This window comes from Homo sapiens, chromosome X (genome assembly GCF_000001405.40).
Source record: "Homo sapiens chromosome X, GRCh38.p14 Primary Assembly".
Lineage (NCBI taxonomy): Eukaryota > Metazoa > Chordata > Mammalia > Primates > Hominidae > Homo > Homo sapiens.
The window spans coordinates 137,554,469-137,581,005 of record NC_000023.11 but is presented as its reverse complement, the minus strand read 5'-3'; the positions used below and the strand labels follow the sequence as shown (position 1 = coordinate 137,581,005).

Below are 26,537 nucleotides of genomic sequence, written 5' to 3'. Positions count from 1 at the left end.
ACGAAACACCTTCTGTTTTCGGTTATCACCACAGCCAATAAGATGTCATATCTTAGAGTAGCTAAATATTTTTTGTAAAGAATAGTGATGTCTCCAAAGAAATATCAGCTGGCCAACCAATTACATACTCTCTTGGTGCTTCACAACAAAGATATGAGTGTAGTTTTTCTGTGTAAGTACTGGCTGGGTAACATTAGTGAATCATTTGTAAACAATTCATTTGCACTGGATTTATATCAAAATATTAAAATGCATCGATTTATTTGTACCACAAATAGCCTTCTATGGTTGACTCTGGGACATTACTGAGGGAATTGTTAGCATAATCATTTTGCTCATTTCACCAGTGAAGTTTCTGATGACCTGATTTTTTTTTTTTTTTAAAGGACTTTTGGCTGGGAGTGGTGGCTCATGCCTGTAATCCCAGCACTTTGGGAGGCTGAGGCAGGCAGATCATCTGAGGTCGGGAGTTCAAGACCAGCCTGACCAACATGGAGAAACCCTGTCTCTACTAAAAATACAAAATTAGCCGGCCGTGGTGGCGCATGCCTGTAATCCCAGCTACTCGGGAGGCCGAAGCAGGAGAATTGCTTGAACCTGGGAGGAAGAGGTTGTGGTGAGCCGAAATCGCCCCATTGCACTCTAGCCTGGGGAACAAGAGCGAAACTCCATCTCAAAAAATAAAAAAATAAAAATAAATGAATAAAAATTTAAAAAGGACTTTGTTTTTTTTTTTTCTTTGACGGAGTCTCACTCTGTCGCCATGCTGGACTGCAGTGGTGCAATCTTGGCTCCATCTCCCAGGTTCAATCGATTCTCCTGCCTCGGCCTCCTGAATAGCTGGGATTAAAGGCATGCACCACCACACCCAGCTAAGTTTTTGCATTTTTCTTAGAGACAGGGTTTCACCATGTTGCCCAGGCTGGTCTCGAACTCCTGACCTCAGGTGATCCACCCTCCTCGGCCTCCCAAAATGCTGGGATTACAGGCGTAATCCCAGCCTCAAAAGAAATTTTACAAGGCTGACCTCCATGTTTAATTGGGCAGGGTAAATATGAAAAAATCAGGAAGAAAGAGTTAGACAAAGCTGATAAACCAGTGAAGAAAAGCCTCCCAGGCCTCTGTAAAACAGCCCATGTTATTTAGCAGTACAGCTTCTCTGGGAAGCCCCAAGTTCCCAAAATCAGTGGGAAGGAAAGAAACACTTCCCACTCAGACAGCTCACTCAGGGAGAGCTGTGTGTTGGTGGTTTTGTTTCGTTTTTCTGTATAAATAGACTTATAATTGACAACGAAATTCTATAATGCTGTAGTAGAGCATTTCTATGCTGTCTTTCTCAGTCAAGCCTCAGTTTACTAACATAATATAAAATCAGAGTAACCTTCACAACATAATAAAACCAAAAGTATGGCTGTAAAGTAGTAAGACTAGTGGCTGTTGTCTGTTTCGTTGTTATTGTTGTTGTTATCTTAAGTGAATCCATCACCTATGGAGTCCATAAATTTATTCGAAGGATGATGACATTGGTCAAAACATTTCAGGACTCCTCACTGGGAACTGCATTCAGGGCTAGCTTCCAAGCTCCAAAGAAAATCAGTCTCATTACTCTATAGTCACAACTACATAATATGATCATAAATTTGGTAAGGGGAAACTGAATAATTTAAGACATAGATTTAATCTTCTTGTTATATGTGAATATCAACTTTCACATTGTAAAATTGTCACTGAATTCTAATGTAAGAATCAAGCTGTTGACTAAAGCAAAAATTTTATTCAATTAAAACCAAACCATTAAATTACCATGTTTACAGATTTTAAGTACACAACTTATTTTTATCTAAGAATAAGTGTTTTCATTGGAAGATAATGAACAACAGGCATTTAATAACATTTTGATTTTATGTGTTTAAATATTCATAGCTATGTTCACAAACCCACATGCCTGATCTAGTGATTATGCTTATGAAATGCAGTATTTCTTACATGCCACAAATCTCCATCTACTTTCTGAAAACTGTATTAAATTTGCAACGCAGTACAAACCACTATATGTTTTTAGTAAAATATTCTATGATAGTAAAAATAGGAAACTACCCAAAAGCAACAAAACAATAACTACCTGCTGGGGGAAAAGAAGGCAACATTTGTTCAGGGACTACTCCGTGACAGGCTCTTTAGGAGACATTTTCTTGTTTAGTCCACAGAACAACCCTAGGAGGTATTATCACAGTGCAGCTGGCTCATGAACAACTCTGTAGCTTACCTTTCCTAGGGCTTTTTCAACAATTCCATTATTATACTCCACTGCCTGTCTGAAAGAACACAGTTCTTGTTCTTAAAAACAAAACAAAACACAAAAATTTTACCAACATTGTTATGGGGCATACAAAAATGTCAGGTGTTAGGAAGCTGAGAGTCAAAGAATCATAGGCTTCCTTGACCTGGCCCTTTCTATTATTCTTGATGTAAATGAACAATTGGAATCACAGGGACATGAGCATGTTTCCTACTACTAAAAAATTATACTATCATCAGTCTACTTACCAAAAATTTCAATAAAATTGGATCTAAAGAACCAATAGTAATATACTCTATCAGGCTGCAATTTTACAATACTTCATCATCACATAATCACGCCAAATAAATAGAATGACAGTCATTCACAGATTACATTAGATTATAGATGTTAAATTTAAAATGAGAAATCAAGTATCTGGAGTTCCAGTAATTTTTCTGTAGTGTCTTCATCTTCTCTAACATTACAGTTAATTAACGACAACTTGTGTTTTAATAACACCTATATTCCATGATTCTCTAAGTGTTCTAATCAATGGTTGTGCAAAGTTGTCTGCCCCAAAAACCACTTCAGGGCTTCTGAATAATATATATGTAATGCTGCAATGTCTCCTCCCTGGATGCCACAGAGGCACTCTCTTCACCTTTCAGGTTATCTTCAGCTTTATCTTTCCCTCTCTTTCTCACCCATATATTGGTGTTCAAATGCTCTTTTTTTCCCTCCAGACTCCTGCATCCTTTCATTTCTTCTAATCACTCCAATCAATCCTTGACTCTGAATTCTTCCCCTGGCCTTCCCAACACCTGGCCTTGAACCCCTCTGGGAAAACACTGTGGGTTCAAAACAGTTGTTTGGGGTTTGTTCGGCCGGTTCCCCCCCACCCCCATTTATTGCCTAGTGAAAGTCCAGCTATATCGTGAAAAATGTGAATTGAATGTAAATTGTCCCAAGTCAACAGGTTAATCAAAGTTATTTAGGGGCTACTGTCATTTTAATAAAACAATAATCACAAAAATAATTTAAATGGTTTTATTTAAGTCAAACAAAAATTAAAGGGATCCTGGGTATTGCTTTCTGAACACAAACATAAAATTAACAAAACAACAATTCATGTTTCTAGTTTTAAACACTTTAGTTCTACATATAGAATGCTGGTATTTGAAAAAGATTTTCACCAAGGTCAACACAATGCATGAGATAATGCATACTGGGTTATGAATTAGGCCAGTCTTCACCTCCATCTTCCCATTTATAAATCCTAAAGTGGGGGGAGTTTTTTTGCTTTTTCATTTCACAAATGATTGCTCAACACAGGATGAAATACACCAAAAGAAGAAAATAGTCTTTTTATACCTAGGGAAGAAGCTACTACTCTTAAAATGATCACTTCAAGGTAACAGACATCCAAATTGATGTGGTTTTCTTTGAAACCTCATCAGTAAATCATTTCTTGCACAGTAGGTTCGGCATTAACCCTGCATTTAGGATAGGTAGTGTTATGGAGGGCTGGCTGCTGCATACCAACGTCAGTATCAAGTTCTTCGTCAGGAATTAGAGACTGTCCCGGATACCAAGCAGGACAACACTGGCAAAAAAACAAAAAGTGAACTGCAGATAGGTCAAAACAGGCCACATTTCCTCTTAGAAAAGAATGTCATAAAATGTCACATGAATATGTTGTTTTAAACTCTGGTTTATAATAAAACACGATGGAATGTTTTATTTTTAACACCTCAAATTCAAATGGTCTTGACGCAGGTTGTATTTTAATAAAATATATGACACAAGACACACACCCTATTAGAGATCAAATATTATAATTTGCCATCTGGTGAAAGCTATTATTATAGTTACTATAAAGCTTACATTTCTCTCCATTCATCAGATGTGTAAATAGGTTGAACTGTCATCAGATTAAAAATATACAAAACTGCTTGGTTTGTTAAATGTTAATGAAAGAGATTTTCTTCAGTTTCAACAGATTTTTTGAAACAAGTTTCTCTAATATTCAAAGGATTTATGTTCGTCTGTTAAAAGTTACCATTAGTCCAAGTGCTCTGAACATTCCCTGGTTTAAATGCTTCCAGCAAACTTAGTGTTTTCCAAGCTGTAAATTTCAATGGTTATGACAGAATCAAACCTCGGTAAAAAAGCAGTACCCTTTGGAGTCGTCATCCAAACAAATACAAGAGCTCTACCAATTTATCACTTGCCCGGTTTTGCAGAAATTCCATTCACATAACTTCTATAAAAATCAACCAGTTTTACCATGTCAAATGACCCAAAGAACACCGCAGGTATCCAGGGGAAACAGTCCACCAATGCATCTTAGCTCGACTTTAAAGTCAATTTAAGAGACGATCTGGGCTCTGTAGCTCTTAAAGGGACAAACCCGTCTAACCATTGGCTAAAGCTTTTTTAACTTAATGAACTTTTTATTTTCCACACTTTTGGTACCAAGAGATTTAACCAGAAAAAAGCTCAAACCTCAGGGTTCACACTACAGAATGGAAAAATAGAGTATACAGCAAGCACCATTTACTTCCTTTGATCTCTCAAAGATGTCAATACTCTATTCCAGCGAGGGGGTGGGGAATGGGGGAGTGAGTGAACCGGGGAAGGAAACTTCACCCACAGAAAAAAAAAAAAAAATCGGCTTGGTGGCAATTTCAAAACAAGTTTCCAAACTACTGAAGAGGCTCCGGCCTCCTTTGACTTGCAGGAATCACACATAAGAAAAGGACAGAAAATACTACAGGGCATGCTTATTTTAATTGCCCATGGGTTTCCAATGCAAAGCACGACAACTTAAATGCATATTCCAAATTCTTGCTCCAAAGCCGTCTTCTTTGTGCACTGAAAAGGAGGAAAGACAACCCCATCAATTGTTCTCTGCAGATAAAGGCACTGTTTTGCAGATTTCCCCCCAGATCTGGGCCAGCCTTGCTAATGACCTGCCCACCCACCTGGGGCCCTTCCCAAGGTGGCCCACGGGAACTGCCCCACACCTTCAGGAGCCCAAATGCGTGACACTGGACAACCCCAAGAGGGCTGACTTTTCCGTTTGGCCGTTGGTCTCCACGAAGACCCAACCTGGAAGAGTTCGTGCCGCTTATTTTCCTAGAGGAGCTGAGGTTCAATTACTACACTTTTTAAAATCTTACATTTTTTTTTTCCTCACAAAAGACACATCTGAAGGTGAATCCGAAGCATTTTTCTACGGACAAAACACGAGCTCGAGATCCCAGAGCTACCAGGGGTTCTTTCAACGCCAGCATTAAGGCAGTTAAGCAAAAGCTGAATTAAAGTTTTCGGAATTCTGGCCTTTTTTCCCCTTAACATAAGATCACCAGCTGTTAAGGCACACACCAAAGCTACAGTGCCAATTTTCATAGGCTCACGTTTAAATGAGATATACAGAAAACGGAGCCTGGGCAACGTGTAGGGGTCGAACTCGCAATGGCACATTTGTCTAACAGCCGGGGCATTTTCTTGGAAAATGGTGCTTACGTGTTCATAGGCTTCGCCACTGTCCTGGAAGAGAACATACTGTCCGCTCTTGGGGCATTTTTAGGGACTCAAGGTTCTGTGGAATCCCGACCGGGGCCTGATAACTCGAAATGGCATCCCCTAGCCATGGCAGCTCCCGGAGGGGGCGTTTTAGGTCGGGCCAGGTGGGTGGGGAGGCCTCTGGCGGGTTTTTTGTCCAAGTCCCATGGGAACCCCAAACCCAAAAAGCACACGCCAACTTCCCAGGAGAATGCCCAGGAAGAACTTCTTCGCTTCCGTTTTTTTAACAATTTTGCGCTCAACCGCCACGACCTACATTCCCCCGCGAGGCGCCCAGAACTGAGGAATAACAAGGGAGTTTAAACTACGCAACAGTTCTGCAGCCTTTGCTGCGCTTTGCTGCGCTCCGCGGGGGTTCGCATCCGGCCGCCATGTTCACGACTCGAGAGCCGCCCCAAAACCAGCCCCCCTTCCCACATACCTCCCCTCCCCTCCCTCCCAGCTCGACCGAGGCCGCGGCACTGCAAAGCGGCTTTCAACTCTATCCCCAACCCCCTCGCTGCAAAATCCGACTCGACGGCTGCGAAGTGTGCGCCTGCGCGCGGCGCGGGCAGGGCGCGGGAGTGGGGGTGGGTGTGGGAGGCCTACGGGCCCCCGGCCGCGGCTTGAAAAGGCCGGAGCCACGGGGAAGCGGGGGAGGGGTTGGGGCCCCGGCCGGAGCCTCCTCTTTCCTCCCAGCGGGTCCCCGCTCCGGCCCTGGCCCGGCTCTCACACGTGCGCGCTAAAAACCCACTTCAAAGTCTGTTCCCGGCACGGGGGCGGCCCCTTTTGCGCCAGCCCCTGGGCACCCGCGCGGGCCGACAACCAGTCCCCAGGCCTCGCCGCCCCCTCTATCCCAGGCGCTGCGAAAAGGCTGGAGGGGCCGAGCGAGAGAGGACGTTCGCTGATGAGCCCCGGGAGCCGCAAGCGGCTTTCGGGTGGACGAATGCCTCCCTGCCCCCAACCCCCACCGCTTTAGAAAATTGAATTGAACACAAAGTTTGCGGCCAGCGCTACGCAGTGGCCTTCGGAGCTCACCATTGTTTGGGCTCGTATTGACCCCAGGTCCGGATTAGGCAGAGGCTGATTCCTGCTTTACAGCCCCGCCGGCCTAATGAGGCTGGGAGGCGATGGGGCGCGAAGCGTCCTCGGAGCCCGGGCGACCGCCGGCTTACGGCCGCCAAGGGCCCTGTAGGTGGAGGTCAAAGGGTCAGCGGGCAGAGACCGCGAGAGAATTGACCCTAGGAAATGAGGTCCCTTCCCCCCCCGCCCGAGCCTCGACAGAGACTTGCAAGAACTTGGTGTGTGGACAGGGACCCTGGGAGCCCCGACGAGGGGCCCGAGGACAGCTGAGCTGGAGCCCCGACTTCCGAAACGCCTGGCCTCGCCGCCTCCGCCCCGGCCCCGGCCAAGGATCCACTGGAGGCTTGGGACTCGAGGGACAGAAACCTGTGAGAGGAAAGCAGTCTAGGTGCCAAGATAACCTCTCTTTTCAGGCGATGGGCACGCTGCTGGCGATTCTTCCACAAACTTACATGTTAAGAGGCCCTTCGACTTTGCTCCTCTGTTTTAGGGAGTTTTTTAAGAAGGGGGAGAGAGAGCCAGGGCGAAGAGGCAGAGACATCAGGCGGGGAGAAGGGAGAAGGGGGAGGAGCGAGGAAGTCCTGAACACTCCAACTTTCCTGGGATGCTTTGTGAGCGGAGGTCTTTGCTCACTCATGTCCAACTTTAGTAATTTAGATCGACCGGCCTGCTTAGCGTGGACCCTGTCCTGATCTTTAACCTTCTAAAGCTGGATGAAGGCCAAACTTCTGTCTTGCGTGGAAATAGCCACCTCCCTTTTGCCTAACAGTGGGAATCTTATGCAAAATCACTCATTTTGAAAAAGGGACTTTGAACAAAGATCTTACAAGGTGCAAGAGGGAAAGTAACAAGTTGATTCCTAAGAGCCTGGCCCATGCCTCGGGCTTGAGCATTGATGATTTTGGTTTGTTTGGTTTTTTTTTTTTTTTTTTTTTTTGGGGGGGGTACTTACTCTCTAAGGTTGTTTACTGAATATTCAAGAGTGTAAATGTGCACTCCCAGAGCCAGATTATAGGGGGGAAATCTGTGAAAAGCTTTCTATCAAAATAAGGAGTTTTCTTTACCACAGATGACAAGGGTGGAGGACGTGATTTTGAGAAATACCATGCTACACCCAAATTAGAGGTAATCATGTACAGGGGCAAAACTTTTATATTCTCCTAATATTGGTTATCATAATTGTTTTTCATTTAATTGATATCTTCCCCTCTTAGGACCCTCAAGTACTTTCCTGTAAAATTTTATGGTAGAATAATTTCAGGTAACTAAGAAAAGATCAAACTGCTCTTTGTCTCAGGAGATATTTAATACATTTAATTGAAAGGGAGGCAGGTTTTTGGTTGAATCCTGTATCCAACCCATGGCTCTACTTCCACGTAAAGTTAGGTTAGATTGAGGGTGGGGGAGGGAACTCATGGAGAAAGTGGTAAATTATGGAAGTTCATTGTACAGTTCAGAAGAAAAATACACTATTTAGATTTCACAATGGAACACACTTAGAGCCAGTCTTATGAATATATACTTTCTGAGAACTTGCTGAGCATTTAAAATGGTCTCTGGTTTGAGGTGAAGGAAAAAGCCTGAAATAGGAATCTGGTCCAGCACCCTCAATGTCAAGGTCAAGATCGGAATGTCTGGGTTGGGAGTGATAGACTGACCAGGTTACCTGCTCATCACATGTGTAGTCATCCCAATCTCTGTTCATGGCATTCAGGCTTGGATATTGGTGGAAGAAAATGCAAAAGACCCCATTATTCTCCACTAACAAAAAATAGCCTCCAAAGCAATTTGCAATTAGAAACTGTCAATAACTAATTGTCTGTTGACAAAGATCAGTAGATAACTTAAATAGACTGCTTCAACCGCATTCACAGAATCAAAGTTTCTTTTAATCATCAGAAGTTCTGTAAGCATTTCAATTTTAGATTGATTTATTTGAACATGAAAAAAAATCAGGCACCAAATACAAAAATGTTATAACATAAATAAGATGTGCCAAGACTTTATTTCTTCAAAAAGAACAATAAACAAAATTCTAGAATTGAAAATGATCATATATAATACCAAATTGACTGCCACCAAAAACCTAGAGCATTGCCCCTTAAAGGAGGTACTTAAGCCTATTCAATACATTCTAAATACTTTACAATTCCTTATGTCCACCTTTCTGTTATTCATGCAGAGATTGGGCTCTCAATAACAAACAGCACCCTAATAAAAAAGGTCTCAATACTCTACCCACTCCAGCCCCCCAAAATAGCAATCAATTTCTTTTCCATATAACCACTGTAAAAGAACTGTTTGTCCAAATGAGTTGCTTCACTGAAGATTAAATGGATTGTTAACATTTTATCACAAAGCAAACAACCGTTTTTCATTGTTATTGATTTTAATGGAAACAATGCTCTTAACATCTTTGCCTACAAATCATGAACTTTAAAAATACATATTTTGCAATTTTTTTCCCATAGCATCATTTCAGAACTGCTGCAGTTATTACACCGCTATATAAATGTTATGGATAATTGCGATAATTATGAATTGAACTATATACAGCAAACAAATCAGCCTTTGCCTTCCAAAATTGTAAATGGACTATGGTTCTTTTAAGAAGCACTTTAACCATAAGTAAGCAATGCTCAACTGGCCTTACTCATCACCACTGTTTTAGACATAAGCTATCTTTTGAAAATATATAGATAGCTACTAGATAGATTGATAGGCAGATTAGATAAGTCATAGATACAAACATATATAGGTATATGGGTGATCTCTAGATAGAACAGACAGACATGCATCCTGCCGCAATTTTCATTTTTATGTAAGGTAATAAAGAACTAAGGGACATAAAATTCAGTAGGTTACCTTATGTTTATATATGTAGGGCAGGGATGATTAAATCCAGCTTCTCAGTCTTTGAAGTACAAGATTGAGATGTCATGGCCACTAACTGAATTGATCAGTAATATTTGATTTGCATGCCGAAAATCCAGGACAAACACATTTAAACTCGCAGTTAAACAACCATCTGAGATAGAGATAAAGAAAGGAGAGTCTTCCCAGATGGAAACTGACACTGTAAGGAATTTATACTGTAATAGAAAAATAATTTAACAATTAAAAAAGGGATCTGAGTGAGTTATAAATACCAACAAACAAGATTTAATTTGCTCACATCTCCTCTTTGTAGAAGAAGGCTGTTACAAAACAAGAGAAAGGAGTCAGTGGTTCCAAAATTGTAAATTGTGTTCTTCTTTCAAAACAATTTTTAATGCTAAAGCAGTTATAATCAAAAGCTGTACAGAATTTGTTAGAAAACATTTATCCATAAATATTGTTCAGTTCCCGGCACTTGTAGCAATAATTAAATTACAAACGATAAATATGGCATCAATGGATATGTATTTACAAAAAAAAAGTTATTACAAAAGGCAACTGTATACTAAACGTCACAATGTGTAGAGTAACATCACATCCTCAGCCTGAAAAAATACTGAACAACAGTTTCGACCCTATTAGACAAAAATACATTCACAAGTGTAATGCTTTGAGGAAAAGTTCAAGACATAACAGGACTTTGGCACGGTTTAAGACTGTGAGAGTTTAAACAATCACCACTAAGGCGAAAAAGAATTTCCATCAGTTTAACATCACCACCACCAACAAGCCTTCTATAACTTCCTCTCAAGAAACAGGACAAGTGTTAAAATGAATTGGAGGAGTTTAAGAATGGGGTGTGCAGAGAGCAAGAGGAAGGGGAAGAAAAAGTAGTGTAAAGATTTTGTAAAAAATGCTTCAAATGCCAAAACATATTTTCTATCCTGAGAAAAGGGCATGGCTACTTTTGGATCTTGCCCAAAACCTTCCTGGACAATTGCAATTAACAAGATGTAGCCCTATATATGGCCTCTTGCCTTAAAACTCCATTTCCATCTGATTGGTCTCAGTTTTCTTTTAAAAATGTATTTGGTCCATTCTATAATTAACAGGGTTTGTGTTTGTCCTCAGACGTACCATTCGTTAAAATTAGGAGGAAGTCCAGGGTTGTGGCTGGTGCTAGTTTGAACTGCAGAAGGGGTTTTAGTGGTATCTTTACTGTTTGCAGAAGCTATAGCGGGTGGAGTGGAAGATTCATAGCCTGAACTGGCAGCAGGGGAGGAATCTGACCCTTGAGATTCATGAACCTAAAATTAACATGTATATATTATAATGAATATAATTCCAACTGGCAATGTGCAAGCAAAAACAAGAGCAGAATTCGAGCACTGTAACAACAAGACCGCCCAGTGACCCACTTAAAAGAAAAATGCTGCTTAAAAAAAATCCGTATTACCGATGTCTAGAAAACCCGGAGATGTTCGCCAAAAACCAGTTTTGCTCCTAAGACTGGTGTTACGGAAAAGGAATAAAGCATTCCGTTTTGGTCATGCCACTTCAAAAATGCTTTCTCCGCGGATGGAGTGAGGTAAGCAGTACACTGTGAGGTCCTATAAAATACTAACTCCGGGCCCAGGTTTCACCAAGCCCGTTTCGGCTTGAGAAAGCAGGTACAGAGAAGGTGGCACAGGGGCCCTGAGCGCTGCGAAGTCGCAGACAAATGTGTGGGAATCAGATTGCACTCCTCGGCCCTATTGTTTTATCCGAAGCCAAAGAGCGAATGAACCACCCACCCTCGGGTTCGGCGCGGCTACTCTCGGTTCCCACCGCGGGCTGAGTCGGGAAGAGGCGGCCACGGCAGCCCCGCAAGCCCAGGCGAGCTCGGCTAGAGCTTCCCAGTAAACAACCGATTGTTCCCTCCGCTTCCTCCCCCTCCCAACTTTGCTCACTCCCGCCCACCCCCTCACCCCCACCCCCGCCCGGTCCCCAAAATGGGTTCAAGGTGTCACTGCTGGAGCAAATCGGATTTAACGTGGAAGACAGAGGGTTGGCAGCGCGGGCGCTTCCGTTCCGCGGCCCGGCGTCGGGCCGAGTGTTTACAAACCGCCGACCGCTAATAAAGAGGTAATTACCTTCATGTGTTTGCGCAGGGAGCTCGGGTGCGTGTAGGACTTGTCGCACACTTTGCAGATATAGGGCTTGTCCGAGGTATGCACATGCATGTGCTTCTTACGGTCGCTGCTGTTGGCAAAGCGTCTGTCACAGCCTTCAAATTCACATTTGAAAGGTTTCTCACCTGCAAAAGGCAAAAACCCAAGGGGGGTAAAATACGGTCAGCGCCGGAGTTTCTCAGAGGCAAGCAGCAGGAGACTGAGCTCCCGGCGGTCTTCCCGGAAAGGGAGCGCGGACTGGGGGCTGCTGCTGCATCTATTTTCCCTGGAGAGAAATGAAGAGCGTAGGTTGAGCCCGCTGGGTTTGGGAGTGGTGGTCGGGGTGGGGGTGGGGGTGGGGCGGGGCCGGCCCAAAACCTGACCATGTCTTTGTTCTTGCAAGGAGGGAAAGCCCCTGGCTCCTCCGAAGTTTCCCCTAAGTTGTGTTTCCACCCTACCCGACCCAGGGCTCCCAATGCGCGGCCACGTTCCGCCACCACCTCAGCAATGTAACCGAGCCCGGCGGGACAATGGGCCCCGGACAGGACAATCCCGTTCAGCCTCTTTGTACCTTTTTATTTGCCTCTTTCAAATGCAGCGGTTTGGCTAAGCCCGATATTAAAAAGCCTGGGTAGTCGTAGTTAATGTTTGAGGAAAAAAATATAGATAGATAGATAGATAGATAGATAGATAGATAGATAGATAGATCGATCGATCCAGGGGGCTCCAGACAGTTTTACAAGATGTTCTGAACAAACCACGAAACTGCTTTAGCTTTCCTCCCGGAGGACTGAATTGAACCTGGAACTCCAAATAAAAATAGTTTGACAAAAGTATCAGTCATTTAATTAGGAGATGTGCCAATCAAGTGTAAAAAAAAGCGGAAGTAACCGAAAGTTAGTTTTCATTAGCATTTGTATGGTTGCCTTCCACGAATGTGTGCCGAGAGCTAAGTCGCTTGTAAGCAATATGCTCTCAACACATTCGGAGTCCCTTCACGGTAACCCAGAAAGGGAGACAAAAAGAGGCGGCGCCAGTTTGTTCCTGGGCGCGAGAAGGTCCCAATTAGTTCCTGAGACCGCAGAGCAGTCTGCCCGGGAAGTTAGAACTCGGCAAAGGCGCCACGGGACGGGGAGGGCTAGGGGTGGATGGTCACTGACAGCGCTTCTTTTTCGAGCGGCCGTTGCGGGGCGTCGCCCCTTTCCCTGGCCGCCACCTCTCTCCCTCGCGCTCTAAGTCCGCTGCGTGACGGGGTATCGCCAGTGGAACCCACGCCCGCCTGCTTTTTTCCCTTACCTGTGTGGGTCCTCTTGTGGATCTTGAGGTTCTCAGAACGGGCAAAGATCTTCCCGCAGCCCGGGAAGGGGCATGGGAAGGGCTTCTCGCCCGTGTGCACTCGGATGTGGTTGACCAGTTTGTACTTCGCCTTGAAAGACTTGCCCTCCCGGGGGCACTCCTCCCAGTAGCAGACGTGGTTGTTCTGCTCCGGGCCCCCCACATGCTCCATGGTGACATGTGTCACCAGCTCATGCATGGTGCTGAAGGTCCGGTCGCAGCTCTTCTTGGGCCGGCTCAGCTGAGCCTCGTCGATCCACTTGCACGACAGCTCCTGCTTGATAGGCTGCCGCATATAACGGAAGAAGGCGCCGGGCCCGTGGTGGGCCGCCACGTTCACTCCCATGTTCATGTTCATGGGGCTGTAGTTAGGAAACTGAGCGCCGGCCGCGTAGGGGTCCGTGCGCGGGCTGGCCACTGGGCGGTATGGGTCAGCACGGCCGAACAGCTCCCCACGCAGCCCCAGGTGGACCTGGTTGTTGTCCACGTGCCCTGTGGGCGACGGGTGCCCAGCGCCCTGCTCATGCAGCCCGGGAAACAGCAAGTAGCTAGGGGGCTCGGGGATGCCAGCTGGAGCATGCAGGCTGCTCGCCGAGCCGGCGAAGAGCCCGTGCTGCCCGCCACCCGAGGCCGCCTCACTGAGCCCGGAGCTGCGCTGGCGGAACAGAAACTCGCGCGTTGAGTTGAAGGCGGCAGAGGCAGCGCCACCGTAGCTGGGCACCTGGCTGGTGTGGTGATGATGGTGATGGTGGTGGTGATGGTGGCCCAGGGCGTTGGCGTAGCCCGAACCCTGCGGCGTGAAAGCCGAGCTCTGGCCTGAAGATAGATCGTGCGCCGCGGCAGGGCTCAGCTTGAAGGCAGCGGCGGCGGCGGCGGCGGCGGCGGCGTGGGTTGAGTCCCCGAAGGGATTCAGCCCCATGCCTGCCGGCTCACGGTTGGGCATCTCGTGGTGGCGCGGCGCGCCGAAGCTGCCCACTCCCAGCCCAGGGAACTGCGGGCCTCCGTCCAGGAGCATCGTCATGGGTGGGACGTTCTGGGCACAGGCGATCCGGCCGAAGTGAGAGAGGGTACCGGCGAAGGAGGAGATCTCCGAAGTGCCGTAGTCGGAAAGGGGTGGCGGCGGTTGGACACTGCGGGGAGACCCCCAAGGCGCTACCAGGGGCTGCAACTTTCCGTCACTGCAAGAGTCTCCTGCAGAGGGATAGGAGGGAGGAGGGGAAGAAAGAGCAGGGAGGGGGTGTTGGCGGGGGGAGGAGGAGGGAGGAGAAGGGAGGAGAAAAGACTCGGACTAGATCTGGTTTAACAAACTAACAGGCGCGCACAAAGAAAAATAAGCAAAATAGTAAGTGGAGGGCGGAGTTTGCCAATCCTGTCCCGGGCACCCCTCCTCTCCCCGAGTGCACAGAACCGCGGGGCCAGGAGGCTCCCTGGGTACCGGCCTCCGGGCTGGGCTGCGCCAAGTGGCGGAGCCGGCTAGCGGCCGGGCAGGCGGGCAGCGGGCAGTAGGCAGGCTCGTTACTCGCCGCTTGCCGCTCGCCGCGCGAGTCCCAGCCTCTTCGCCTCCAGAGTAATGTCCTTGGACTGATAAAGTCAATCACTCACTCCTCGCACATAAACCGAGCGGGAGGCCGCGAGGCGCGCGCCAATGGGGAGCCAGCTGGCCCGCGGTCACCTGACCTCCGGCCGGACTGCCCATTGGCCGCCGCGAGGCTGATTGGCAGCGCGGAGCGGAGAACATGGCAGCCGCGGCCGAGCGACCCCCGCTGATTGGGCAGCCGCCGGGTGCCTGGCAGGTGAGGCGGCGGCTGCCGGGCGGCCGCGAGTGGGCTCCACCGGGCTTGAGTGGCTGCGGGGAACTGGGGCCAGGCTCCAGCCGGCAAACGGCGGGACGCCGCCGGGACTCTCGCGGGCTTTCCCCCACCCCTCGCGGGCTCTTTGCCCCGCGAGGATCGGTCCCACTGCTGCGCCGATGGAGGAGACGCGGCGCTCAACGTCCAGTCCTGCTTGGGCCCCCGCTGCCTCACCACCTTGAGAACATGTCCCCTCTGTAGCTGCAGGGCGCAGATCCTGGGGAGAGCGCAGCAGTTTCGCGCTCCCGGTCCAGCCGCTGCGTCCACCTCCAATCACTGCGAGTTCTGATGGCCTCGAGGCCGGGACCCAGGCCGGGATAGTTCGCCGTTTGTGCCCCCAACCTGTCGGCAGCTGTCCGAGACCCAAAGGAGAAGAAACGATTACAATTAGAGCTGATCTCCGTTACTTCCGTCTGCGCCAAGCGTTGACCCTTTAGTTTGTGAGCAGCGGCCGTACTCGCCGCTGCCCACTTCCCGAATTACACACCGGGCACGACACAGCAAACATATACAACGCAGTAAACCCAAGCACACAGTAGGAAACAAGCACACAACACAGTAAACACAAGCGCACCACAGGAAACAAACACGACATATGAAATACGCACACAACACAACAAAGTAAGCACATACAACACAGTAACATAAACTACGCACAACACAGCAAACACAGAAACACAACTAAACACAACAGAGCAAATACACATAACAGCGAGCATACCCACAAATACAAAACATGCAAAGAACACTTTTAGCCAGTGTACGCAAAACATGCACACAACACACTAAACACATAATAAACACACTAGACACACACAGTATCAGGGTGGTTTCCAAATCACTAGGCTAATCAGCTTTGAATTCTCAACATTTTCAAATGCAAAAGTCGTGTTGGGGGTTGCTGATGCTGAATGGGGACTGTGACATGGAATTTTCTTTCCTCTGAACAGCCAAGGCTTTACTCTCTTCTACTCCTACCCGGAGAAGGTAAAGCATGTAGTGACCTCAGGGACTGCTTACCCCTTAAGGATTTACTTCCAGGGGTGTGTGTGAAAGTCCTCTCGCCTTCTGTCTGTTGCAAGGTCTTTCTGACATAATGACCAGGTTCAGACAAGGCTATAAATTCACTCATTTTTGTGTCCTGCAAGGCATTTGCAAAGAATGCAGAAGAGAGTGGAAAGAAAAGGCAGAGAGAAAGATGGCTGTGATTGTCACATCCCTAGCTGGGCCAAGCCCCAAAGTCTGCGCCTTGAGGCAGCCTCACAGCCTGGCCGCCATCTCTCTGTAGGAAATAGAACATCTGATCAAGTTCAGAGGCGCCAGGAGAGACCGCCTTAAGCAGCGCTTTATAACTGCAGCCTTTCACTTCCTGCTCCCCAGTCTGCCTGGCCCAGCCAACACTTCACCTTCTTTCTTAGCCAGTTTGCTGGGAGAACACCCTACCGGTAGCACATCTTACCGTATTCACCCCCTCCCATCAAACTCGCCCCAATTCTCTCTCCACATCCAGAGCTCTCTCCCCAGGTTGGAAGGTGAGTTCACTGCTGACTTAAATTATTGCGTCTGCCGAACATAGGCTCTCCAAGAATGGTTTCAGTGCCTCTCAGCAGAGGGTTTCTTTGGGGGGGTAGGGGGGCGCTGGTGTGTTCAGAGAACAAATATGCTTAAATCATGCAAATGAATCCCCTGGAGTCAGGTTTACAAAAAAGGAGGATTGCCTTTCTTCCCCCCCCCCCCCCCGCCCCACCTTTCTTTTCACTTTCTCCTTTATTTCCTCTCTTCCCTCTACCTCTCTTCACCTCCCACCAACCCCAACCGCCCTTGGCTAAGTAGTTGGTTTGAAAAAGTTTGGATTTCCTCACTGAGCTGGTCCCGCGGACAGCGGTTCTCGAGACTAGGGGACCGGGAAGGGGCGGCTGTCGAGCTCTGGCCGGGCCAGCGCTGATGCGAGAGTTTCCGGGGAGTCCCGCCAGGTACCCCGAGAATCGAGGGCCTTGCGCGATTGCAACTGGGTGAAGGGCTCAGAAGGGGGGCAGCCGAGGGAGCTCATCATGCCCCTATTTGGGAAGGGGTCTTGAGCTCAAGGCAGGGGGAAGTTGCCGCCGCTGACCTACCCGGTGCCCAGTGTCCGTTTTGATACGGCCACATTCCGATAATTAATTGCCTCCAGCACGTGCTCTGTAGTCCCTGGAACAAAAAGGCATAATTCAATTAGATCATCAACCGAGAAGTGGGGAGGTGGGGGCCGGGGGGGTGGATGCTTGTTAAGGGGGCAGACCTGAGGCGATTCAGCCAGGCCAAAATCCCGGGCAATGGAGCCCTTCACGGGACAGCCGGGCCCATCCTGAGAGTGCGGTTCTGAGGGGGTGTCGTTGTTCTGTGGGACGCAGGGGTCCCAGATGCGCGCAAAAGGACGAGGCTGGGGGCTTTGTGAACAGCAGGTCAGAGGCAGGCCATTTCTAAGTCGGTTTCAGTTGGTTTGAGTGGGAGTTTCCTTATTTGGGGAGGGGGACCCCTGACCCTTAAAAGAGGGTAGAAAGCAAAATCCCTCCAGATAAAGCTAGTTACTGCACATGAAAACAAAGTCCCCACCCCCAACAAAGCAAATCACTGCTGTTGGGGGGGAAAAATCGCGAAGTTTTTCTTATGACTTAGAGCTTCTCTCCTCCCCAAACTTGATTTTCAAGAGGAGACTCTGGGAACAACTTCGGGGAACAGGGCGCTTTGGGGAGCTGAGTCTGAGAACAGAGTGGTGGCAGAAGAGGGAAAGCTAAGAGGAGAAAAGTTTTTCCTACACACAGGCAGAGGTGAGGGGATGGAGACAACTCTCGTGTTTTCGTTTTTCAGGTGGAGACAGGAGTCACAGCTCTAGTCAGGGAGGACAACTCGAACCCAGGGGTCGTGGTTCTATAGCTGAGGCTCCCTCAGCAGCTTTGGCTTACTAGGGTTTACATGTGTAGTAGGCAACGTAAATTAACCAATAAATCTCTTTTATGTGTCCCCAAGTTGTATGTGGTCGGGTCTAAATATCCACATGTTTGTATGGATAGGAAATATAATGGGATCCTTTCCCTCACACTGAGTTCAAACGGTAAATAGGAAAAAGATTTATTTTTATGCCCAAATCTAAAGCAGTAAATAAAATCAGAAAAACTGATCACTTCTAAACCAGCAAAGCTTTTGAGCCCGATTTTTAGAATCCATCTTGAAGAAGCAGTAGGGAAACAGAACGTCCTGAGGGGCAGTAGGGTAGGACCGGGTTCTTCCTACAACCCAGAGCCCAACTCCACAGCACTTTTCTCTTCCGTCGAACCTCCGAAAAACAGAACATACACAGCACATTGTGTTATCATGCAGCATTTCTTTCTAAACACATTTTATGTGGTGGACATGAAATTATCCTGATTCGGTGACCTAGTAATTTTCTTTAAGTTCAAGGGAAACGCTGCGGTCTTTTCTTCTGTTTTGTATTTAGAAAAGACTTGCAATCTAACACTCGCAACATTTTAAAGGCCCTTTAAACCCAGCAAGCGGATTTCCGTTCTGCCAAGGCTTCCTGATTTATTTCAATAAATGAATCTTTGAATCCAGGAAGGGAATTATTCCAGGACGCTGAATTTGGTGCCCCTGTCTCTCCCTAGTGGAGCACAAAGTGTTTCTCATTGCAACATGTCCTTGAAACTCACCATTATTCGCCTTTTTTCCTGGTAAATGACACTTTCTTTACATAAATCCCCACCCTCTCTTCAGAGTCCCAGATCTTTTTAAAAGAAAAACTGCAAGTGGCAATAAAAAATGAAGGGGGAAGAAAGCTGGGAAAAGAATGCATTTTTAACTTCTCTTTATTTTTATGCTAAGATAAAGCACTTAATTGGCATCAGGGGCCAAGCTGAACTATCGATCTCCAGGACATGCTGACACACTTGCCAACCAAGTGTGTCTGCAGGTTGGTGAGCGTAAAATCACACAGCTCCAGATTTTATTGGCCACATCAGAATTTTCACTATGGTCCTATCATTTGACACATATTTTATAAGCCCTAAATACCTTTAAAATTCAATCGAGAATAAACAGATATTGTTAATTAACCCCCCCCCTTTTTTTTTTGCCTTTGTCCTCTGAAATACAAGGCATATTGTTACCCAATGTAATGAAATGCAAACCAGACAGGAATGAGACATTTTCATTGTACTTGTCAATCAGGGCTGTGCAGACAGATATATATACTTGAACTTCAGAGACATAGGCTGAAGTAAATAGGGCTGAACTTGAAGGAGGCAGGCAGGGACTTGAACTAGAACTATCAGAATCCAGTTTGGAATTATAAAGGGAGTCCCTGAAATATAGAAAATGCAGTGAACCACCCCACCCAAGTGGTAGGCAGTGGTCCTCAGGCAAATCTGAGTGAAAGGCTTATGACGAGCTGTGGCCTGCTAGGTTCTGCTGCCATGGAATACCTTTACCGCTCTGGGGGTGACTAGGTGTTAGCCCCCAGCTGCACTAGCAGTGGCTCCAGGTGCCAGGAGAGCAAGACACATTGAAAGAGGACTTCTTCCTTCCTTCTAGATCAGAACACCTTGTAGGTGGGGAGTGCCCAGGCAAGAGAAGAGGGGGATGCAGGCAGAGGCTGAGATACACAGTGACACATTTGATTTATGTTTACAGGTCCTTCCCCAGACACCTGAAGAGATGGGGGAAGGAGAATCAATTTGGAGAGCCAAGTTTGCCTGACATTTTGGAGCACACATTTACCCAGGACCCCAAGTTCCTTGTAGCTGCTAAATGCTGTACTAGTTCTAAAATGTAAATTAGCTTCAAGGCAAGTGGAGAGAAGCCTTAGACTATTCTGAGATATTTGTTCATTCATTTCTTTGCTTTGAGAAAGAATCCTCCCAACGTGATGGGAAAGATATCTCTGGGCCACATTATGGCTTCTGGCAGCAACTCTCATCCTTAGTGCCTAGATCTGGAGCCCCCACCAACCCTTTGTCCCCAAGTTACATTTCCTTAGTCCAGGCCTATTCCACCATTTCATCTTCTTTCTCCCTTCCTCGCTGAGGGGCAGAGGCCGCCTTTCTTTTGCCCAAGCTGAGAGGGAGAATTCCTGATCCCTAGGAAAAATGCTGTCTCCACTCCCAAGGAACTTTGTGTAGTTTAGGAATTGCATTTTGTAAAATCAAATTGCCTGTTGCAATTTGCACTTGGTTTGTGGTTATTCATCTAGTTATTTCCTAGTGAGGGGGTGGGAGGAAAGGGCTTTGACATTAAAACAAAGCATAGGGCCTCCCTTTCCTCCCTTTTTTCTTTCCCCACCAACAAGATAGAGTGGGAGTGAATTAGACTAACTGCTGGTTTGGACGTGAATGGCAGACTATGGTCTGCAAACTGGAGGCCAAATCTGGCCCATAGCCTGTTGTATTTGTATGGCCCCAGGAGCCAAGAATGGTTTTATTTTATTTTATTTTTAAAACATCTTTAAAGGGTTAGAGAGCAGAAGTAGAAAAAGAAGGACAAAAAAGGGGGGGAATTTATGCTACAGATACTGAATGTGGTTTGAAAACCCTAAAATAATATTTTATATCTGGCCCTTTACAGAAAAAGTTTGCCGACCCCTGGACTAGGGGTTGGACTGTAGTGTCAGCAGAGGCTAGGTATTCTTGACCAGTAGATTTTATCCACCATCACCCTCCTAGATTTCCAGCTTCATTTTGCATATGGCTTGATTTTTTTTCCCCCAGCCCCACATCTCAGTTATTTTTGGGGATACTTTTGGCTTTGGAGAAAGGGAAAAAGTAGTCAAGGGAGGAGGAGTCTCAGGAGAAAGAAGGGATGAGAAGAGAGGAAAAAGAGTTGTGAATATCTCAATCAGTGACTAGGTGACCTCTGACCCTGAGGGTGGTTTTATTGTCTTTCTTCTTTGGCTAGAGATACACAGTTTATTGACCCTTTCTGCGTGACTGAGCCCTCAGGGGCAACGACAGCTCCAAACCAAGCCAGGCATGTGAGGCCAGGAAGCCTGAGGGAAGTGACCCCAATTCCCTAGGCCTGAGGGGGTTGGAGGGACAGAGAGATGGACTCCCTCCCAACTCAACTGCCCCTCCTCAGTGAGGGCCTAGCGTTCACCCAGCTCCTCTTCTTGCCCAGAAACGCTACCCTCCCTTTCTTCCCAGGACAAATGCCATCAGCTGGTAGACTTGGGCAAAACATTTATGCTCCTTCTCTGCACTCTTCCCCTTTAAACTATAAAGATATGTTATTATAAAGATTCCAGGGTGGGCCAGGCATGGTGGCTCACGCCTGTAATCCCAGCACATTGGGAGGCCTAGGTGAGTGGATCACTTGAGGTCAGGAGTTCAAGACCAGCCTGGCCAACATGGTGAAACCGCATCTCTACCAAAATACAAAAATTAGCTGGGTGTGGTGGCAGGCACCTGTAATCCCAGCTATCAGGAGGCTGAGGCAGGAGAATCACTTGAACCCAGGAGGCGGAGGTTGCAGTGAGCTGAGATGGCGCCACTACACTCCAGCCTGGGCGACAGAGCAAGACTCCCTCTAAAATAAAAAAAGATTCCAGGGTGCTCCCAACAACCCAGCTTACTAACTACTACCTTAGCTCATCCCCTTAGGTATGTCTCCCCTCTCCTTCATCTTTCCTTCCACTCCGGCCCTATCAGGAATTTCTCTATAAGGCTGCATAATCCTCAACCCTTGCCCCTCAGACTCAGCTTTGGTAGATTACACTTCACCTTTTGAACCTGGTCCAGACTGGCAAACAATTCTTTCAGACCCAAATAGCCACTCACACAAGTAATGTTGCCAAATTTAGCACATCAAAAACTCAGGACGCTCAGTTACATTTGAATTTCAAATAAACGATTTTTTCTTAGTTTAAGTATGTCCCAGTTATTGCCTGGGAGATACTTATACTAAAATATTCTTTATTGGCAATTCAGATTTTATAGGACATTATGTATCTTATATGGCACTCCTACTTTCAGGAGTATGGTCTAGCCAGGCTAAATTGTCACACCCAATGGAGCTCTCACCAAAGTGTAGCCTGACTTTGTGCCACTTGCCAAAGTGTTTTCCAAAAGCTCCATTTGTGGGAAAGTCAACTTGGGGACAGGGTGGCCCTGAAGGCCCAAGAAAAGCCCCTGGTGAAATTTCTGTTCTGGCTCAGCGGGCCTGTCCTTTCTCATCAAGAGGCCCAGGAGCTACCCTGGCTAGATTGTTACCACAGGACTGGCAGCGGGGCGCTGTTCCCAAACAGTGACTAATTGTGCCTGCTCCTGTCCTAGCCCCTGAAGGAAAGCCCCTTGTGCTACTCACCATGAGTAGCACAGCAGACATTGAGTACTGCACACATTGAGTACTAGCGTGCTAGGGACCTTAAGATCCCACGCACTGCAGGCCTCAAAGTCCCATTCATTGACCTGATCCTCCTGCCACCCCTGCAGGACCTGAGATGGGTGTTTGCCTTGCATATTCTTTCCTATTTTGCTCAGGTTGTGTGAGCCTGAGGCCCCCTTCCCTTTGCTCTCTAGGGTTCAAGTTTCACCAAGCCTAAAAAATCCTCCTCGCCTTGCCGTCCCTTGGTCCTTCTTTCTCTCATTTTAATGGGTCTGTCTTCAAGAACAGAGGAGCCTGATTTCAGCAAGAATGCCCCTATGGGCCCTTGAGGGCTATAAACAGGTGGAATCCTCAGAGCCAGAGTCTGTGGTCCCTCTGCTTAGCCCTGCCCTCCCAACCTGGATGCACAAACTTCAGTCCACACTGGGCTGTGCAGAGGCCCCTCTCGAGCCATCCAGGGCTAAAGGTCAAGTTTTCCTGAGGACCAAGGACAGAGTGAAGCAGGTTTTATCAGCAGACATCCGTTCTCCTCTTCCCCTGTTCCCCACCCTCATCACACATTCCTCCATGGAAGTTCTTATCTATCTACCTATTAAATGAAAGAGGAAAAACACATGGCCTACAGTGTCCTTTTCCTCACTCCTATCAGTACAAGTTCCAAAAGCTGAACCTGTCAGCAGCTCAGTGGCCTCAAAAACATTCCAGGAGACCCCTCTCCCCATCACTGAAATACTCCTTTCCCACTTTAGAAAAGCTCATTAGTTCTTACCTCTTAACTCTTTCTCCTTTTTAAGGTGGTTTTAGGCTCTAAGTTTGTTTGGAGGCAAGGGAGCCTCCACTGCCTACTTAAGCAAACTGAAGTTTTGGGTAGTTTTGGTAGCCCATAACCACTAGTTGTAGTGCACATCTGTACACACTTGCCTGTTTTCCTGAGTTTCTTTCTTTCTTTCTTTCTTTTATTTATTTATTTATTTTTTTTGAGACAGAGTTTCGCTCTTGTCGCCCAGGCTGGAGCGCAATGGCACAATCTTGGCTCACTGCAACCTCCGCCTCCTGGGTTGAAGCGATTCTCCTGCCTCAGCCTCCTAAGTTGCTGGGAATATAGGCGCCCACCACCACACCCAGCTAATTTTTGTATTTTTAGTAGAGATGAGGTTTCACTGTGTTGGCCAGGCTGGTCTCCAACTCCTAGCCTCAGGTGATCGACCCGCCTCGGCATCCCAAAGTGCTGGGATTACAGGCGTGAGCCACCGCGCCCAGCTCCTGAGTTTCTAATATGTCCCTGGGTATGGAAGGGGGCCCATTTTCTTTTCTTTTCTTTTCTTTGTTTTTATTTTGTTTGTTTGTTTTGTTGTGTGTGTGTGTGTGTGTGTGTGTTTTAAGGATGGAGTTTTGCTCTTGTCACCCAGGCTGGAATGCAGTGGTGCTATCTCAACTCACTGCAACCTCCGCCTCCCAGGTTCAAGTGATTCTCCTGCCTTAGCCTCCGGAGTAGCTGGGATTACAGGCGTCTGCCACCACACCTGGCTATTTTTTATTTTTTATTTTTTTTGTATTTTTAGTAGAGACGGGGTTTCACCACGTTTGCCAGGCTGGTCTCAAACTCCTGACCTCAGGTGATCTGCCTGCCTTGGCCTCCCAGCGTGCTGGGATTACAGGCGTGAGCCACTGTGCCTGGCAGAAGGGGACCCATTTTCTTAATACACACACTTAAAAGCTCTAGCTCCCACATGATATCTTGTTTTTGTGATTCTCAATTAGAGACTTATATTGCAATATTTAGTTTCTGCTATTAAATTTCACATCCCCTCCCTCAATTTGAGAGGGGGGAGAGGTTGCCTGCCCTCTGCTCCAGAAGCAATTGAGTAGAACCAGAAACTCTAGCTCCACATTGGAGTTTGCTGGGAATCTTTGAAATATTCAGATGGTCAGACCAACCCCAGAGCTTCTGACTCACTTGGTCTAGGGAAGGGTGCCGTGGCCTATTTTTGAAACTCCCCGGGTGATTCTAATGAGGGAGCCACTGTGTTAAAGTTAGTCAATATCTAGAGCCTCTTTGCTCCCACCCTGCAGCCTTCCCAGGCTTACATTCTTGGCCCTGGTAATACCACTAAGGTCTGAGAAATGCTTCAACTAGAAGTGCTCTAAGAATAAACTTGGGGTTCCCACTCCAGACTGCTATCTCTATCTATTTATTTTGCCTACCAGATGTTTCCATGAAGAAAAATCCCGCCTTCAACTTCTACGTTATTCATCCTGCTTTTAGAAATGACCCTTGCCCTGATCTGAGGTGGAAGAAATAAAGGTCTGGTAAAGAAATGATATGCTTATGGACCTGGAACCATTTATTTTATTTCAACTAAAGGGCTACACTTTTGCTGTTGCAGAACGAAATTTCCCCCTGTAAGACAGTGAGGGATGGAGCTACTTGATGAAAAGGGCTGTTCTAATTCTACTTCTCCCCGTTTTCAACAGATCCACTCCTGACCTCCTTCTAGAAGAAAGAAGGGGAGTGGAGATTCGGAGCATGCCATCTCATTAAGAATTGTTCCCCAGTGATATTTCCTTTGCTGTTTCTCCCCCCACCCTAGGTGGAATCCCAAGAACTGGTGAGGGGAACCTTATGCCTCTCAATTTCTAGATGATTGCAAAAACCAGAACTGTCCAGGTATCATGCAGTTTGGTTCAGGCTTTGAGGACAGCTCCAAGTTGTGGAAGGCAGGGACAGATGGGAGCAAGCAAGTTGCAGAGTGACTTGAAACTGAACCCTTTTTTCCCCCGTGGAAAAACTTTTTATTCACACAAGCAATACATTAGCTGCTTCACTCTTCAAATTATTTCATTTTATTTTTAGAGACAGGGTTCTCATTCTCTCACCCAGGCTGGAGTTCAGTGGCATGATCACATCTCACTGCAGCCTTGACCTACCGGGCTCAAGCAATCCTCCTGCCTCCTACCACCCAAGTAGCTGGGATCACAGGTGCATGCCACTGCGCCTGGCTATTTTTTTTTTTTTTAATTTTTCATGGAGACAGTATCTCCCTATGTTGCCCAGGCTGGTCTCGAATTCCTGGGCTCCAGCAATCCCCACCTTGGCCTCCCTAAGTGCTAGAATTTTAGGTACAGGCCACCACACCTGCCCCTTCAAAATGTTTATAGCTTGCATGCTACATGTAAGACATCCTGGGGGTACTGTGGGGGAAGATACCAGGAAATGATGTCAAGATTCAGTCTTGCACCTGGGCTAGCAAAACATTGTAGCAGTTTTAGAAGGAATATTTCATAATCCTATGTGGATTATCTGAAACTTTAGGGTAACTGTCAGAGGTTTTCTTTCTTTCTTTCTTTTCCTTTTCTTTTCTTTCTTTCTTTCTTTCTTTTTCTCTCTCTCTCTCCCTTCCTTCCTTCCTCCCTCCCTCTTTCTCTCTCCTCCTTCCTTTCTTTCTTTCTTCCTTTTTCTTTCTTTCTTTCTCTCTCTCTCTCTTTCTTTCTTTCTTTCTTTCCTTACTTTCTTTTCGACAGAGTCTTGCTCTGTTGCCCAGGCAGTGGTGCAATCTCGGCTCACTGCAACCTCTGCCTCCCAGGTTCAAGCGATTCTCCTGCTTCAGCCTCCCAAGCAGCTGGGACTACAGGCATGTGCTACCACGCCCGGCTAATTTTTTGTATTTTTAGTAGAGACAGGATTTCACCGTGTTAGCCAGGATAGTCTCGATCTCCTGACCTCGTGATCCACCCTCCTGGGCCTTCCAAAGTGCTAGGATTACAGGCGTAAGCCACTGAACCCAGCCTTTCTTTCTCTCTTTCTTTCTTTCTTTCTTTCTTTCTTTCTTTCTTTCTTTCTTTCTTTTTCTTTCTTAGGGTCTCTGTCACTCATTTGGAATGTAGTGGTGCAATCATGGCACACTGCAGCCTCGACCTTCTGGGCTCAGGTGATCTTCCTGCCTCAGCCTCCCAAGTAGCTGGAGACTACAGGCACCACCACCATGCCCGGCTAATTTTTGTATTTTTTGTAGAGACAGAGTTTTGCCATGTTGTCCAGGTTGG

At 46.9% G+C, this 26,537-nt stretch overlaps 1 protein-coding gene and 1 long non-coding RNA gene across 4 annotated transcripts, besides 2 other annotated features; one reads left to right on the top strand and one right to left on the bottom strand.

Moving 5' to 3' along the window:
• Window positions 3,315-14,879, bottom strand: ZIC3 (Zic family zinc finger 3). Of its 2 annotated transcripts, none has more exons than NM_001330661.1 (3): window positions 13,255-14,879; window positions 11,941-12,104; window positions 3,315-3,884 (listed from the first exon to the last, which is right to left on the bottom strand). In NM_001330661.1, the coding sequence occupies exons 1-3, from the start codon at window positions 14,312-14,314 to the stop codon at window positions 3,735-3,737; spliced, it is 1,374 nt and encodes a 457-aa protein (NP_001317590.1). In that variant the 5' UTR covers window positions 14,315-14,879; the 3' UTR covers window positions 3,315-3,734. The 2 variants fall into 2 exon arrangements, with proteins under 2 accessions (NP_001317590.1, NP_003404.1); NM_003413.4 differs by lacking the exon at window positions 3,315-3,884 and adding an exon at window positions 8,904-11,115.
• Window positions 4,790-5,340: an enhancer, noted in NCBI's record as "NANOG-H3K27ac hESC enhancer chrX:136657825-136658375 (GRCh37/hg19 assembly coordinates)". NCBI's record gives its function as "activates a minimal SCP1, AML or CMV promoter by ChIP-STARR-seq in primed H9 embryonic stem cells {active_cell/tissue: H9 hESC(primed)}" and the evidence as "EXISTENCE:reporter gene assay evidence [ECO:0000049][PMID:30033119]".
• Window positions 13,893-14,478: an enhancer, noted in NCBI's record as "H3K4me1 hESC enhancer chrX:136648687-136649272 (GRCh37/hg19 assembly coordinates)". NCBI's record gives its function as "activates a minimal SCP1, AML or CMV promoter by ChIP-STARR-seq in primed H9 embryonic stem cells {active_cell/tissue: H9 hESC(primed)}" and the evidence as "EXISTENCE:reporter gene assay evidence [ECO:0000049][PMID:30033119]".
• LINC02931 (long intergenic non-protein coding RNA 2931) lies at window positions 16,522-24,815 on the top strand. Of its 2 annotated transcripts, none has more exons than NR_186571.1 (3): window positions 16,522-16,675; window positions 19,809-19,962; window positions 24,702-24,815. It is a non-coding gene; the product is annotated as a long intergenic non-protein coding RNA 2931 (long non-coding RNA). The 2 variants fall into 2 exon arrangements; NR_186572.1 differs by lacking the exon at window positions 16,522-16,675 and adding an exon at window positions 17,093-17,116.
• The last annotated feature ends 1,722 nt before the right edge of the window (window positions 24,816-26,537 follow it).